General features: G+C 42.1%; 1 protein-coding gene across 1 annotated transcript in view; it reads left to right on the plus strand.

Moving 5' to 3' along the window:
• Positions 1 to 17425, plus strand: part of DTD1 (D-aminoacyl-tRNA deacylase 1) — a 178591-nt gene extending 161166 nt beyond the window's left edge. Inside the window, exon 6 of the mRNA NM_080820.6 lies at positions 14141 to 17425. The gene's annotated coding sequence lies outside the window, so the exon portion shown is untranslated. The remainder of the gene's footprint in view (positions 1 to 14140) is intronic.
• Positions 17426 to 17670: the final 245 nt, after the last annotated feature.

The raw sequence follows: 17670 nt of genomic DNA on the forward strand, positions 1-17670 counted from the left end.
TGGAGGGAGAGCAGTGCAGGTGGCTCCAGGGCTCCAGGAGGCAGCTGCAGCCCAGTGAGGTAGCAAGACACGGTCAGGCCTCAGGGCCTGTGAGAGTGCTGCTCAGCATCGCCGTGGGGTGGGGAAGGCTCCAGAGGGTGTTCTCTGCCTGGTGGAGGGTGTGGAGGAAAGCTGTGTTGGGTCTGTGGGCTGACTCTCGGTCCTGGATAGAAGTGGTGAGGTGAGCCTGCTGCAGAAGCCATGAGGGGGCAGCTTCATTAGGAGGTTGGGGGTCATGGCCTCAGCTCTTCATAGCACTGACAGTCCCTCCAGGTCTCAGCTGTGACCTCCACTGGCCTCCTGGATGAGACTTGCAGGGGTCTGTCATTAATGACACCTGAGACTGAGTGAGATATGCTGGTGAGAACTGAGACGAGGCCAGGTCAGCCAGAGAGGGCCTTGGGTCCCTGAGCAAGAGACACCAAACTTCAAGTAGCCCACCGTCCCTCAGTGGTGCAGTGTCAGGGCCCAGGTGCTGAGCTGCACCAACCACCCTGCCACAGAGGACACTGAGGACCCAGAGTACTGTTGACATTAAGGTGAAATGGAGCCTCTGTCTGGTCAGGAACGCCCCTATTGCTACTCAGCGCATGGAGGCTCATGAACAAGTTTAGATCGGCCCATGAAAGACAGAGGCCACGTTTTGTTTATACCGATGTATATGGTACTGTCTGGGTTTTGGACAAAGCGCACAAGGAAAACCATTTATTGATGGTTTACCATAGGCATCCAGTTGTTCTTCTTTACGTCAGGGTCAGCAGTGACGGTGTCAGGCATGGACAGATGTCCAGGCAGGGAGGAGTCCTTCAGAGCCGCCCACAACTAGCCGAGGACCAGAGCGGGGCTGGGTGCTCCTGCTTCCGAGAATTTAGCCATGTTCCTGGATTTGAAGATCCTAAACGGGACCAGAACCAAGTGACAGCTGGCATTCCAATGATATATTTGGGGTTTTTTGTTGCCCGTGGGTTTTGTTCCCCCTTCTGATGAAATTTGTCATCCCAGTAGGCCACAAAATCACCACCAAATATTCAGATATCTATGAGAGCTGGATTAAATGGTGACAGACAGAAGGTGACCCTGACATTTGTTTTGTTCCCCAGAACAACAGCAGCCCCCTCACTATGAAGGGAGTAGCACTTTTCATTTGCTTTTCTTTAAATACAGAAAGAGCCCTAGGGAATCTGGCAGGCCCTAAGGGGAGCAGCTTTGAGTTTCCAAGGCACGAGAGAGAAAGAAAAGGCAAAAGAAAATTGAATGAGAAACTGCATGATCTTGGGCATATTTTTCTTTGAAAATGATTCAAAAGCCTTCATGGTTCAGAGGACATTTCCAGGGCCTTGACATTTCTCTGTCACATTGCAAATGTTGCTTCTTATTTTACCAAGTGGACATGAAACTGCTAAAATTAACTGTGTTTTTGTCCTCTGTCTCAATCCTTCGGGCTCTCTCACCTTGCTGGGAGGAGTTGAGGTTTTCTGTGAGGATGCAGCTCTATTATTTCTCCTTTCTGGCCACTGCTAAAGGCACTAGGGCCACCTCTCACTAAAATGATGTGGTTTCTGATTTGATTGCAGGGTCAAGTATTACCTCATTTGAGTATTGACTTAGCTGCTGTAATTAGGGTGTGAGAGGAGTGTGCTCCTGACTGGCACCCCACATTTCTGTCCTCAAATGGCAACACACTTGAAACCAAACAAGAAAGTGTTTTGGAAGCTGCCATCTGTTTGCTTTTTCAATGTGACCTTTGTCTGAATAGTAAGATGTGTCCTGGCTGAGCACACTTCTTCCTAATGAGCTACAGCAGCCGTGTGTGTGTGTGTGTGTGTGGGTGTGTGTTTTCTGTTGAAAAGGTATTCAGTCCCTTTTCACTGTTCTTTTCGCCATACAAGGTAGGACTCCTTTCATTCTCTGAGCTTCACTTTGCTTCCCTGTATCAACATTTGTACCACATTCTCATGTCCATGTGCTGGTATTTCATGGTATAAAACTAGCTGTGTCTCTGGGTAGTGTTTTTATCTTTTTTTAACTTAAAACAATTTTTTTAGTGGTTGCCCTGGAGTTTACAATATACATTTTTAACTAGTCTAAGTCCACCTTGAATGACACTCTACCACTTTACCTGTAACAGGCACCTTATAACAACAGCATATTCCCAGTGACATTGCTATCATTCATTTCACTTTACATATGTGATACTCACCTAATACATTGTCACTATCATTAACTTAAATAGTCTTTTTTTTTTTTTGAGGTGGAGTCTCATTCACTCTGTCACCCAGGCTGGAGTGCAGTGGTGCAATCCCTGCTCACTGCATCCTCCACCTCCCAGGTTCAAGCGATTCTTGTGCCTCAGCCTCCCTAGTAGCTGAGATTAAAGGCATGCACCAACATGCCTGGCTAATTTTTTGTATTTTTTGTAGAGATAGGGTTTTAACATGTTGGCCAGGTTGCTTTTGAACTGCTGGCCGCAAGTGATCCACACACCTCAGCCTCCCAAAGTGCTGGGATTACAGGAGTGAGCCACCATGGCCGGCCTTTGTTTTTGAAGGATAATTTTGCTGGTATAGACTTCTAGACTTGTAGTTTTTTTTTTTTGTTGTTGTTGTTGTTGTTGTTTTAATTTGCCTTTCTTTAAAAACACAAAGAGCCCTAGGAGCCTCACAGCCCTAGAGGAGCAGCTTTGAGTTTCCAAGGCATGAGAGAAAAAGAAATATTTAAATATTTTCAATACTTAAATTTTTATTCCTCTCTCTCCTTGTTTGCAGTTTCTTATGAGAAGTCCCCTGTAATTCTCATTCTTATTGCTCTATAGGTAAGGTGGGTTCTCCTTACCCCACCCCCAGCCCCCAGCTTCTTCAAAATTTTGTCTTTGGTTTTCCGCAGTTTGGATATGACGTGCCTAGGTGTGGTTCTTGCTTGGTATTTTCTGAGCTTCTTGGATCTGTGATTTGATGTCTGTTATTAAGTTTGGAAAGCTCTTGGCCATTAATACTTCAATACCCCTAGCTTCATTCACAATTTCCTCTCTGTTCTCTCTTCTCCTTTTGGTATTCCAATTATATATATGGTACATCTTTTGCAATTGCTCTACAGTCTTGGATAGTCTGTTCTTTTTTTCTCATTCTTTTTCTCTTTGTTTTTGGTTGGGAAAGTTTGTAATGACCTATCTTTGAGCTCACTGATTCTTCCTTGGCTGTGTCCAGTTTATTCATGAGCCCATCAGAGGCATCCTTCATTTCTGTTACAGTGTTTCTGATTTCTATTATTTCCTTTTGTTTCTTTCTTGGAGTTTCCGTCTCTCTGCTTACATTACCTATCTGTTCTTGCATATTGTTTACTTTTTCATTAGAGCCCTTAACATATTAATCATAGTTTTAAAAAGTTCCCTGTCTGATAATTCCAACATCTGTATCATAGTCCCAGTCTGATTCTGGGGATCTTTTTGGGTCCGCTGACCTTGAATCTGTAACTGTATGGCTTTCAGTACATTTGGGACATTTTAAGTAATATCTATTCAAATATTTTTGTCTGCCCCATTCTTCTTCTTACCTGGAGGTTACTGTTCCCAAACCTTAAGTGTCATTCTGGTTTTTTATTATCCATGAGGTTGGTTTGCTTCCTCACTGATGCAGAGTAGCATGTTATATTACTTTACTAGTAGTGGGACTGGATTTTCTCTATGCCCAGGCTTCCACCTCCATTACCTTATTTATTAGAAAATAAATTGGCCATTACCTTATTGATTAGAAAATAACTGGCCATGATTAGTGATTCCATCTATTGCTAAGGTGCAGAGCCAGGCTTACAAATAATTTAGAGTGTGCCATCTAATACAGTAGCTACTAACTGCATGTGGCTATTGAGATGTAAATTAAAATTAAATAAAATTTAAAATTCACTTTCTCAGTCTCAGTAGCCATATTTCAAGTGCTCACTAGCTACATACAGCTAGTGGCTGCTATTCTATCATTGCAGAAAATTCAACTAAACAGCACCAACCTGTAGGGATCAAGTTATGATTTTGATACTGTCATCTGAATCACTTTAAGTACTATAAGATTGACATTGGCTGGGTGTGGTGGCTTATGCCTGTAATCCCAGCATTTTGGGAGGCCGAGGCGGGTGGATCACCTGAGGTCAGGAGTTCAAGATCAGCCTGCCCAACATGGTGAAACCCCGTCTCTACAAAAAATACAAAAATTAGCCAGGTGTGGTAGTGTACGCCTGTAATCCTAGCTACTCAGGAGGCTGAGACAGGAGAATCGCTTGAACCAAGGAGGCAGAGGTTGCAGTGAACTGAGATCGCGCCACTGCACTCCAGCCTGGGCAATGAAGCGAAACTCTGTCTCAAAAAAAAAAAAAAAGACGTTGATATATAAATAAGTACAATATACATGAGAAATAATAGATGGGAGAATAAGTTAAAGCCAAAAAATAAAAGCCAATTGCTGTCAAGGTTTGTTCCTACCACTTTCAGGTAACATCAATTTTTTCTCCATGCTTGTTTTATTGCATTGCATTAAGCTTTCCATTCGTAATTAGGAAATCATTCTTTTCATGTTCTATCTGTGAAGTCAGGACCATCAGCTCTCAAGCAAAGGAAGAGATTCCGATTCTGGGGATCTTTTGACACTTCAGTGGAGGGAGCTTGCTGGAATCTAACAGTGCTAGAAGGTCAGAGTGAAGCCTGCATTGATAACTTCCCAGCATCTCTCATGTTTTTTGCATAGAACAGCCTTACCTTTCTAGGTAAATGAATTCTGATTTGATTACCAGCTAAGACCTGAAATAAATAGGTAAAAAAAAAAAATCTTGGTCCTTTTAACAGTGATGTGGAGAACAGATCTGTGGCATGTGTGTGTTTTGTCTAGCACTTGCATCCTGTGGTTGCTTAAATGGCCTGAAGCCAGAAGCAGGTCAGTTGGAAGTCAGTGTCTTTGAGGGTTTCAGTGTTTACGTGGGCTGTGAAGGGTTTCCTTTCTTCTGGTCCTGGTCTGGCCTCACTGGAGATGTTCCTCACTGTCCCTCGTGGTTGACGGCAGTAAGAGAACTACTACAGCAGGTGGAGGAAACTGGTGGTTCCCCTAGCTTCTTTCATAAGACTATGAAATTGTGGTGCTAAGTTATCAGGCACCTCTTACTACTGCCTGTCAGGTGTCCCCAGCCTCTGGGTCATGTCTGCCCTCAGTAGCTCATGTGACGCACATGCGTTTGGAAATAGACATCATCCCTTCAGTAGCTCTTAGAGGGAGGCACATTACCCCTTATCCAGGGTTTCTGAATTTCAAGCCTCAATGGTCCACCCTTTTCTGGAGAACCATGTGTTTAGCTTGAACAGGACTTCTGCTCAGCACTTCTAATTTGGCAGATGGACCTCACAGATAGCTCACTCCCACCTTCCTCATTCAAGCTTCCAGCTATGTGAGCTGCGTGGTCTCCAGCTACTCCCAGTTGATGGCCAGTAACCTGGCTCCTGGGTTATTCTATAGTTCAAGAAAATAGGAAGAGACATCTTTAGCAAGTGAGACTAGAAATAGAGAGCAACGTCTATTGACCAATCCATGTATTGTAGTGGGCGGTGGCTTTCAGCTGGAACAGTGTCCACTGCTGGCCAAAAATCTCTTGCATGTAGTTTACAAATCACTCATGATACTAACATTGATCTTATGATTAGGCCAGCCCATTAGTGTTCCCAGTAGTAGCACAGTTAATTCTAAAGGCATACCTAATGGATTGTCCTTCAGGTTAGATGCTTTATAAAGTTCTTATGCCTAGGAAGTTTACCTAAAAACTTTAAGAACCCATTGGCCAAAACCTCTCAGGATCCCTTCCAGTTCTGTGTTTCTCTAGTAGGGAATAGAAATTCCTAAATCATCTTTCTCATATAACATTTCTTTTGAAAGCCATTTTTTTTATTACAAAGTTAATGCTCACTCATAGAAAATATCAAAAATGCCAAAATACCCGAAGAAGAAAATAAAAGTCATCTGCCACCTTATCATTCTATGATTATTATTATTTTTTTATTATACTTTAAGTTTTAGGTCCATGTGCACAACGTGCAGGTTTGTTACATATGTATACATGTGCCATGTTGGTATGCTGCACCGTTAACTCGTCATTTAACATTAGGTATATCTCCTAATGCTATCCCTCCCCTCTCCCCCGACCCCACAACAGGCCCCAGTGTGTGATGTTCCCCTTCCTGTGTCCATGTGTTCTCATTGTTCAGTTCCCACCTATGAGTGAGAACATGCGGTGTTTGGTTTTTTGTCCTTGGCGATAGTTTGCTGAGAATGATGGTTTCCAGCTTCATCCGTGTCCCTACAAAGGACATGAACTCATCATTTTTTATGGTTGCATAGTATTCCATGGTGTATATGTGCCACATTTTCTTAATCCAGTCTATCATTGTTGGACATTTGGGTTGGTTCCAAGTCTTTACTATTGTGAATAGTGCCGCAATAAACATACGTGTGCATATGTCTTTATAGCAGCATGTTTTATAATCCTTTGGGTATATACCCAGTAATGGGATGGCTGGGTCAAATGGTATTTCTAGTTCTAGATCCCTGAGGAATCGCCACACTGACTTCCACAATGGTTGAACTAGTTTACAGTCCCACCAACAGTGTAAAAGTGTTCCTATTTCTCCACATCCTCTCCAGCCCCTGTCGTTTCCTGACTTTTGAATGATCACCATTCTAACTGGTGTGAGATGGTATCTCATTGTGGTTTTGATTTGCATTTCTCTGATGGCCAGTGATGATGAGCATTTTTTCATGTGTCTTTTGGCTGCATAAATGTCTTCTTTTGAGAAGTGTCTGTTCATATCCTTCGCCCACTTTTTGATGGGGTTGTTTGTTTTTTCTTGTAAATTTGTTTAAGTTCATTGTAGATTCTGGATATTAGCCGTTTCTCAGTTGAGTACACTGCAAAAATTTTCTCCCACTTTGTAGGTTGCCTGTTCACTCTGATGGTAGTTTCTTTTGCTGTGCAGAAGCTCTTTAGTTTAATTAGATCCCATTTGTCAATTTTGGCTTTTGTTGCCATTGCTTTTGGTGTTTTAGACATGAAGTCCTTGCCCATGCCTATGTCCTGAATTGTATTGCCTAGGTTTTCTTCTAGGGTTTTTATGGTTTTATGGCTAACATTTAAGTCTTTAATCCATCTTGAATTAATTTTGTATAAGGTATAAGGAAGGGATCCAGTTTCAGCTTTCTACATATGGCTAGCCAGTTTTCCCAGCACCATTTATTAAATAGGAAATCCTTTCCCCATTTCTTGTTTTTGTCAGTTTTGTCAAAGATCAGATAGTTGTAGATGTGTGGAATTATTTCTGAGGACTCTGCTCTGTTCCATTGGTCTATATCTCTGTTTTGGTACCAGTACCATGCTGTTTTGGTTACTGTAGCCTTGTAGTATAGTTTGAAGTCAGGTAGTGTGATGCCTCCAGCTTTGTTCTTTTGGCTTAGGATTGACTTGGCAATGCGGGCTCTTTTTTGGTTCCATATGAACTTTAAAGTAGTTTTTTCCAATTCTGTGAAGAAAGTCATTGGTAGCTTGATGGGGATGGCATTGCATCTATAAATAACCTTGGGCAGTATGGCCATTTTCACAATATTGATTCTTCCTACCCATGAGCATGGAATGTTCTTCCATTTGTTTTTATCCTCTTTTATTTCATTGAGCAGTGGTTTGTAGTTCTCCTTGAAGAGGTCCTTCACATCCCTTGTAAGTTGGATTCCTAGGTATTTTATTCTCTTTGAAGCAATTGTGAATGGGAGTTCACTCATGATTTGGCTCTCTGTTTGTCTGTTATTGGTGTATAAGAATGCTTGTGATTTTTGCACATTGATTTTGTATCCTGAGACTTTGCTGAAGTTGCTTATCAGCTTAAGGAGATTTTGGGCTGACATGATGGGGTTTTCTAGATATACAATTCATGTCATCTGCAAACAGGGACAATTTGACTTCCTGTTTTCCTAATTGAATACCCTTTATTTCCTTCTCTTGCCTGATTGCCCTGGCCAGAACTTTCAACACTATGTTGAATAGGAGTGGTGAGAGAGGGCATCCCTGTCTTGTGTGAGTTTTCAAAGGGAGTGCTTCCAGTTTTTGCCCATTCAGTATGATATTAGCTGTGGGTTTGTCATAGATAGCTCTTATTATTTTGAGATATGTCCCATCAATACCTAATTTATTGAGCGTTTTTAGCATGAAGTGCTGTTGAATTTTGTCAAAGGCCTGTTCTGCATCTATTGAGATAATCATGTGGTTTTTGTCGTTGGTTCTGTTTATATGCTGGATTATGTTTACTGATTTGCATTTGTTGAACCAGCCTTGCGTCCCAGGGATGAAGCCCACTTGATCGTGGTGGATAAGTTTTTGATGTGCTGCTGGATTTGGTTTGCCAGTATTTTATTGAGGATTTTTGCATCGATGTTCATCAGGGATATTGGTCTAAAATTCTCTTTTTTGGTTGTGTCTCTGCCAGACTTTGGTATCAGGATGATGCTGGCCTCATAAAATGAGTTAGGGAGGATTCCCTCTTTTTCTATTGATTGGAATAGTTTCAGAAGGAATGGTACCAGCTCCTCCTTGTACCTCTGGTAGGATTCAGCTGTGAATCCATCTGGTCCTGGACTTTTTTTGGTTGGTAAGCTATTAATTATTGCCTCAATTTCAGAGCCTGTTATTGGTCTATTCAGAGATTCAACTTCCTCCTGGTTTAGTCTTGGGAGGGTGTATGTGTCGAGGAATTTATCCATTTCTTCTAGATTTTCTAGTTTATTTGCATGGAGGTGTTTATAGTATTCTCTGATGGTAGTTTGTATTTCTGTGGCATCTGTGGTGATATCCCCTTTATCATTTTTTATTGCATCTATTTGATTCTTCTCTTTTTTCTTCTTTATTAGTCTTGCTAGCGGTCTATCAATTTTGTTGATCTTTTCAAAAAACCAGCTCCTGGATTCATTGATTTTTTGAAGGGTTTTTTGTGTCTCTATTTCCTTCAGTTCTGCTCTGATCTTAGTTATTTCTTGCCTTCTGCTAGCTTTTGAATGTGTTTGCTCTTGCTTTTCTAGTTCTTTTAATTGTGATGTTAGGGTGTCAATTTTGGATCTTTCCTGCTTTGTCTTGTGGGCATTTAGTGGTATAAATTTCCCTCTACACACTGCTTTGAATGTGTCCCAGAGATTCTGGTATGTTGTGTCTTTGTTCTCGTTGGTTTCAAAGAACATCTTTACTTCTGCCTTCATTTCCTTGTGTACCCAGCAGTCATTCAGGAGCAGGTTGTTCAGTTTCCATGTAGTTGAGCGGTTTTGAGTGAGTTTCTGAATCCTGAGTTCTAGTTTGATTGCACTGTGGTCTGAGAGACAGTTTGTTGTAATTTGTTCTTTTACATTTGCTGAGGAGTGCTTTACTTCCAACTATGTGGTCAATTTTGGAATAGGTGTGGTGTGGTGCTGAAAAGAACGTATATCCTGTTGATTTGGGGTGGAGAGTTCTGTAGATGTCTATTAGGTCCACTTGGTGCAGAGCTGAGTTCAATTCCTGTATATCCTTGTTGACTTTCTGTCTCGTTGATCTGTCTAACGTTGACAGTGGGGTGTTAAAGTCTCCCATTATTATTGTGTGGCTTTATGAATCTGGGTGCTTCTGTATTGGGTGCATATATATTTAGGATAGTTAGCTCTTCTTGTTGAAATGATCTCTTTACCATTATGTAATGGCCTTCTTCGTCTCTTTTGATCTTTGTTGGTTTAAAGTGTGTTTTATCAGAGACTAGGATTGCAACCCCTGCCTTTTTTTGTTTTTTCATTTGCTTGGTAGATCTTCCTCCATCCTTTTATTTTGAGCATATGTGTGTCTCTGCACGTGAGATGGGTTTCCTGAATACAGCACACTGATGGGTCTTGACTCTTTATCCGATTTGCCAGTCTGTGTCTTTGAATTGGAGCATTTAGCCCATTCACATTTAACGTTAATATTGTTATGTGTGAATTTGATCCTGTCATTATGATGTTAGCTGGTTATTTTGCTCGTTAGTTGATGCAGTTTCTTCCTAGCCTCGATGGTCTTTACAATTTGGCATGTTTTTGCAGTGGCTGGTACCTTTGTTCCTTTCCATGTTTAGTGCTTCCTTCAGGAGCTCTTTTAGGGCAGGCCTGGTGGTGACCAATCTCTCAGCATTTGCTTGTCTGTAAAGTATTTTATTTCTCCTTCACTTAGGAAGCTTAGTTTGGCTGGATATGAAATTCTGAGTTGAAAATTCTTTTCTTTAAGAATGTTGAATATTGGCCCCCACTCTCTTCTAGCTTGTAGAGTTTCTGCCGAGAGATCCGCTGTTAGTCTGATGGGCTTCCCTTTGTGGGTAACCCAACCTTTCTCTCTGGCTGCCCTTAACATTTTTTCCTTCATTTCAACTTTGGTGAATCTGACAATTATGCGTCTTGGAGTTGCTCTTCTCGAGCAGTATCTTTGTGGCGTTCTCTGTATTTCCTGAATGTGAATGTTGGCCTGCCTTGCTAGATTGGGGAAGTTCTCCTGGATAATATCCTGCAGCATGTTTTCCAACTTGGTTCCATTCTCCCCGTCACTTTCAGGTACACCAATCAGATGTAGATTTGGTCTTTTCACATAGTCCCATATTTCTTGGAGGTTTTGTTCGTTTCTTTTTATTCTTTTTTCTCTAAACTTCTCTTCTCGCTTCATTTCATTCATTTGATCTTCCATCACTGATACCCTTTCTTCCAGTTGATCGAATTGGCTATTGAGGCTTATGCGTTCGTCACATAGTTCTCGTGTCGTGGTTTTCAGCTCCATCAGGTCCTTTAAGGACTTCTCTGCATTGGTTATTCTAGTTAGCCATTCGTCTAATCTTTTTTCAAGGTTTTTATCTTCTTTGCCATGGGTTCGAACTTCCTCCTTTAGCTCGGAGTGGTTTGATCATCTGAAGCCTTCTTCTCTCAACTCGTCAAAGTCATTCTCTGTCCAGCTTTGTTCCATTGCTGGTGAGGAGCTGCATTCTTTTGGAGGAGGAGAGGTGCTCTGATTTTTAGAATTTTAAGTTTTTCTACTCTGTGTTTTCCTCATCTTTATGGTTTTATCTACCTTTGGTCTTTGATGATGGTGACGTACAGATAGGGTTTTGGTGTGGATGTCCTTTCTGTTTGTTTGTTTTCCTTCTAATAGTCAGGACCCTCAGCTGCAGGTCTGTTGGAGTTTGCTGGAGGTCCACTCCAGACCCTGTTTGCCTGGCTATCAGCAGTGGAGGCTGCAGAACAGTGGATATTGGTGAACAGCAAATGTTGCTGCCTGATCGTTCCTCTGGAAGTTTTGTCTCAGAGGAGTACCCGGCCGTGTGAGGTGTTAGTCTGCCCCTACAGTGCGGTGCCTCCCAGTTAGGCTACTCAGGGGTCAGGGACCCACTTGAGGAGGCAGTCTGTCTGTTCTCAGATCTCAAGCTGCATGCTGGGAGAACCACTACTCTCTTCAAAGCTGTCAGACAGGGACATTTAAGTCTGCAGAGGTTTCTGCTGCCTTTTGTTTGTCTGTGCCCTGTCCCCAGAGGTGGAGTCTACAGAGGCAGGCAGGCCTCCTTGAGCTGCGGTGGGCTCCACCCAGTTCGAGCTTCCCGGCCGCTTTGTTTGCCTACTCAAGCCTCGGCAATGGTGGGCGCCCCTCCCCCAGCCTTGCTGCCACCTTGCAATTTGATCTCAGACTGCTGTGCTAGCAATGAGCGAGGCTCTGTGGGCGTAGGACCCTCAGAGCCATGCGCGGGATATAATCTCCTGGTGTGCCGTTTGCTAAGACCATTGCAAAAGCGCATTATTAGGGTGGGAGTGACCCGATTTTCCAGGTGCTGTCTATCACCCCTTTCCTTGGCTAGGAAAGGGAATTCCCTGGCCCCTTGCGCTTCCCGGGCGAGGCGATGCCTCGCCCTGCTCGGTGTGCTGCAGCTACTGTCCTGCATCCACTGTCCAGCAATCCCCAGTGAGATGAACCCTGTACCTGAGTTGGAAATGCAGAAATCATTCGTCTTCTGCGTGGCTCACACTGGGAGGTGTAGACTGGAGCTGTTCCTATTTGGCCATCTTGGCTCCACCTCTGATAATTATTATTAACATAATGCTTTGGAATACTTTTTCTAAACAGGTAATTCTACATCTGTTTCTCTAACTTTACAAAGTTGGAGACATACTGTATATATATAGTGTCACCTGTTTTTTATCTTTTAACAGAATATCTTTAACATTTCTCTAGGTCATTCTTTTACTGTGAGCTTTATAATTTCCATCTGCACATCAAATATTTGAAGACTAAATTATCCCAATGCATTAAAAATGTAGAATATTGTAGAATATTTAATTGAAGTAAATGTAAAAGAAAAATACGTTCAACCAGGATTCCAAAGCTCATCTTAAGTTCAAAAACAAAGATTTTAATCTGTGCCAAGAAGATGGAGTTTCTCAAAGGTCAATGTGGGGAACAATTACAGTATTTCAGTTATTGGTATTGAAGGTAGGGAAACAAGTATGAATAGTCCCCAGGTCCGTAACTTGGGTTAACATCATCCACACAATGTAAGAACAAATGGGTTGTTTCTAATAGCTAAAAACTGAAAGTAATATGGTCCCCAGGAATGATGTTGTCTGTTCTCCACCCACTGGTTGTCTTTTAGAAAACTCTTAGGAAGGTGTGCAGGACTCTTACAGGTGGGTTTGGGTGTACGAGGGTAGCCCTTGGGGATATGGTGGCAGACAGAGCTGCAGAGCATGGGCTAGCTGTGGTTCCAGCTTGCCTTTCTCATGTGTGCACAGGGACTTCGCTATCCAGCTGGGCAGGGGAATGAGGGCTGTTAGTCTATGGAAGCATCTGCTTGTGATACAACCCTTTCTTAAGAAGGTGGCCTGCACTGAGTGTATCAGGAAGCACATCCATGGAGGTGGCACTGCCATGGCATATTGAGTCGTATTGAAATCTTTTGCTTTTACTGAAGTCCATCCAATTAGAATCTAGATCTGAGGGAATAGAAACTCTTCTGTTAGGCTTTAGCTTTAGTTTAACTTTTGGATGACAAATGCATGCATCATAGATCTCGGCAATACTAGCTGGTTTTTGTTATAGCCTCGGAATTACAAAAGGAAACCCTGAGACACTTGGACTTCTGTACCAAACAGCCAGGCATCCTTTGAGTAGTATTTAAAATGTCGCAAGACTAAGCATTTAGTTTATTCCCTCCCTGTCCCTGCATTTCCTTAAGCTCCCATCCCTCTACCTCCCTCATTGTTAAAATGATTTGGAAATCATGCTTTTATATCTCTTTTCTAGGAATTTGTTCATTTCATCTATGTTGTCTAATTTGTGAGTCGAAAGTTGCTTGTGATATATTCCTTTTATCTTTTTAATGTCTGTAATGTCTGTACTGATGTTGCCTCTTTGATTCCTGATATTGATAATTTGTGTCTTCTCTCTTTTCTGGGTAAGTCTGACCAGAGACTTATCTATTTTATTGATCTTTTTATTTTTATTTTTTCTCTCTTGCCTTTTTCTGTTTGAAATGTCATCAGTTTCTGCTCCTTATTATTCTCTTCCTTCTCTGCTTGTTTTGGATTTACTTTGCTTTTATTCTTCAATTTCTTAAGGTAGAAACCCAGATTATTGATTTGATAACCTTTTTCTTTTGTAATATAAGCATTTAATGCTGTGAATTTCCCTCTAAGCCCTGCCTTAGGTGAATATAACAAATTATGATATGTTGTGTTTTCATTTACTTCAAAGTATTTTCTATTTTGCCTGGTGACTTCTCTTTGATGCAAAAGCCATTTAGAAGTGTGTTCAGATATTTGCCTTGGTGTCTTTTGCTCTAAGAATGGAGTTTTAATGAACTGGAGACTCTTTGAGGAGAAGGTATTTGGGTTTGTACATGGCAACATGGCAGGTTTTTCAGTGAAGTGATGCACTGATGCTGGTGTCACTGTATGAGCTTGAAAACATATCTTCAGCTGCTTAGTTACTCTTATATGCCTATGCTAATAGAATCTGAAGGCAAACATTGGAATCCTTCTTAATAACGTGTCTTCTTTGGTCTTTTTAGTGTGTTATCATTGGGCAGAACTGGATCCTGAAAAATTCAAGATGCTAAGCACCTACACTACTTTAAGAATTTGGAACTGAAACATGAAGAGGAAGACAGAAATAAGAATTTGGGAACCTGAATAGCTCTGCAAAAAACACCAAAGGACCGTTTTATCGTTTTCTGTTGTTGCTGTGGTGGAGTGATGCAGTGGGCACTGCCGGTGGGCCAGGGGGCGGGTGCGCATGTGGTAGAAGGTGTGCGCTCGTGCCTCCCCCACAGAAAGGCTTTGTTGGTTTCTACCACATCTTGGCTTGCTTTTGGAACAGGCTGGCCCAGCATCATTTGTCATCAAGTCCACTGTGGTGTATTCTGCGTGTCCATGGCGGGGGTTCTCCAATACACTCACACTGTCCATGTTCTTTTTATTGCCAGGGCCCGTGTTGAAGTGTCAAGAGAGCAATCATCAATGATAATGTATTGTGTGAGACCTTTGCATCTTGTAAATTTTCTCTTTTTTCTAAAAATAAATAATAATAAAATCCTAAATCTCAACAAACCACTTTATTATCAAACAAATTCTGCTCTGTTTCTGCATAACGATGATGTCCATAGAAATGCAATGCGTCTGACCTCTCTCTATGCGTATCTACACTTCTTTTCACATAAGTCTCTCGCAAGAGGGCCTTCTCTAACTGGCCCACACAGGCTCCTGAGTCCAGGTGGGAGCCTGTCTAGCCAGTTTACAATTGATGACATGGTACTTGGAAGTGAGATGTCAGGAAAAGGGAGTGTGGGTCAGAAGATAGTCCAGTTTCAGAATGGCCACACTGTTCTGAGACCAAGTGTGGAGCCACATCTGGTGTATCCAGCTTTGGGAGGTGGAGGAAGGCCTCAGCATGGCGGGTGGTGCAGATACCCTTTATCCAGTAGCTACATGGTTGTCCATGTATCCAAGTCACCACACCCAGCACTCTGGGAAGAAAGAATCACATTCTGCCAAAGTAATTTCTCAGTTAAATTTCAGTCTACTGGTGGCACACTCAGAGTAGTCATTTTTTGACATATGATTTAATAGCTTTATTTATATATCTAATAACGCTCGCATATATGCTCTCTGGAAAATATTTTTGTATATAGAAGAGACATCCTTAATTGTGATTTTTATAATGCTGAAACTCTGTCTTCTGTGACCTCTATAATAACTTCTGAATCCATCTAGTCTGACCCAGTCATCTACTTCAAATGATAATAAATCAGAAAATGTGGAAAACAAAAAAGCTCAAAACACATCTCTTGGAATATAGAGTTGGAAAAGGGTCTGCCAGACTGCTTTGTTCTAAACCAATTCAGATGGTCCAGTGTAATTCACAATGGTTTAAACCTCTAGATTTGAAGTCATTACATCCCAGATGCAGACCCTGGCCAGCTCCCTAAGCTGTGTGGGCAGTGAGGTCCCAGAAGCTCTGCTGTTTGAGTTATCTAAGCAGGGTTTTACAGAGTGAATTCAAATTCACTTTAAAGCTACTTGAACCTACATGTCGATAAACTCAGTTGTAGGGTTTGGCTTGCTGGATAACTGTCATGTTTCTCCACCACAGCATTTTATTGCCACCAATTAATGCTTATTGAACAGTTGCAGCCTGTCCTTGTAGTAAGGGGTAACGAGGATTGCATAGAGATACGACCTAAGGATCATGACATTTGGATGGTGGTAAAATGCTAAAGGCCTTTGTTGGTCACAGCCCAGTTCCTGGCTCCCATTCTAAAGGGACAGAGACATACCAGAGAGTGAGCACCATGTGGTCAAGTTGCTGAAGGGTCTGAAACCGTAAAGGAAGAGCTGAAGGAGCTGGGGCTGTTTCATCTGGGAGGGGAACTCTAAATGTTTGAAAGATGTGGAAGAGAAGCTGGGTCAGGAACAAAAATAGGAGCAATGGGTGTAAGTTGCATCAACGTAGATTCTGGCATTCTAACAACATGATTCAAAAGTGGAAGGTGATGTTGGGAGCTTTTGGTGTTTGAGCAGAAATTCTGAGCCTATATGTGTGAGGGGGGATCTTTGATTAATTAAAACATCTTCCTCACAGTATGCAGGAACATGGTAAAAGAAAGCATTTACTACTTTTGTAAACATTTTGGATTGAAGAGAACTTTTCCATCATCCTGAAAATCACTTTCAACTCCTGGGATCAGAGAAATAGCAGTGAATACACCGAAGTCTGGCCTAAGAGGGTCAGATCTAACCACAGGGCCAGATTATAGAGAAAAATGAAAGCTCAAGAAGAAACCCCATAATATCTGCAGCTGCCTCAAAAAGGTGGTTAATTTCCACCCCCACCTACACTCCTGAAGGTCCTTTCCTAGTTGCTTTGAAACTAATGGCTAAAATTAGATTTTGGGTGGCATTCTTGTGGAGAATAAATCTCTCAGTCTTTACATCTCTCCCAACATCTCTGCCTCCTTCTTTCTGCTTATTTATAAAGCATACTGCTTATTGTCCATTAAAACATCATTTGAATGAGGATGGGAGAGGAGAATCGTACCATGTATGGCTTTTCTGAGAAGCCTTGGCAGATCACAGACCCAGGACTTTAAACAGAGTGCTGTGCCGATAACACTGCATAGCAGGACCCATTTAATCTTGCCTTTGGTGGTTTACTTTACAGGAGACCAAGCTCTTGTGGCTACACAAAACATAGACCAAATAAAGGCATCTTTGGGGGCTGGATGTCCATAGCAGCACCTCATGGTTAGTGGTCCCAGGGAGGGCATTTTCTCTACCAAGCAGTGTCCTGGCTCAGATGGGTGCCAGCTGGCATATATATGGACAATTTGGCATTTCATTGATTTGATCATAAGGAACAAATAGTTCCGCAAACACCCTATTTCCTTTGATATGGTAACATTTGAGTAACTCCAAAGCCAGAGAGGCAATCTTTTCTATCTCTGGTTTGTCAGATTTTCTGCCGTTTTTCAGCCAGGCACTTTAAGAATTCTTAATTTGTTGTTCGTTATTGATTCAGGTCCTTTAAAAATAGAGTTAAACACCCTCATCTCAGAAGACATGGAATAATATCAAAAGTAAAGCCACCCACTGGCTGCATCAGAAAAGAAGAGGGAGGCCGGGCGCGGTGGCTCACGCCTGTAATCCCAGCACTTTGGGAGGCCGAGGCGGGTGGATCACGAGGTCAGTAGATCAAGACCATCCTGGCTAACACAGTGAAACCCCGTCTCTACTAAAAATACAAAAAATTAGCCGGGCGTGGTGGCGGGTGCCTTAGTCCCAGCTACTCGGGAGGCTGAGGCAGGAGAATGGGGTGGACCCGGGAGGTGGAGCTTGCAGTGAGCCGAGATCACGCCACTGCGCTGCAGCATGGGCGACAGAGCAAGACTGTCAAAAAAAAAAAAAAAAAAAAAAAAAAAAAAAGAAAGAAAAAAAGAAGAGGGAAAGCCCTGTTTCCCTGTTTTGAGGTGAGTCTGTCTTCTGCAGATGATGTTTTCATTCTCTCCTAGGGTACAGACACCAACGTATTAAATTTTTAGAGGTT

The sequence above is a fragment of the Homo sapiens genome, chromosome 20 (genome assembly GCF_000001405.40).
Source record: "Homo sapiens chromosome 20, GRCh38.p14 Primary Assembly".
Taxonomy (NCBI): Eukaryota; Metazoa; Chordata; class Mammalia; order Primates; family Hominidae; genus Homo; species Homo sapiens.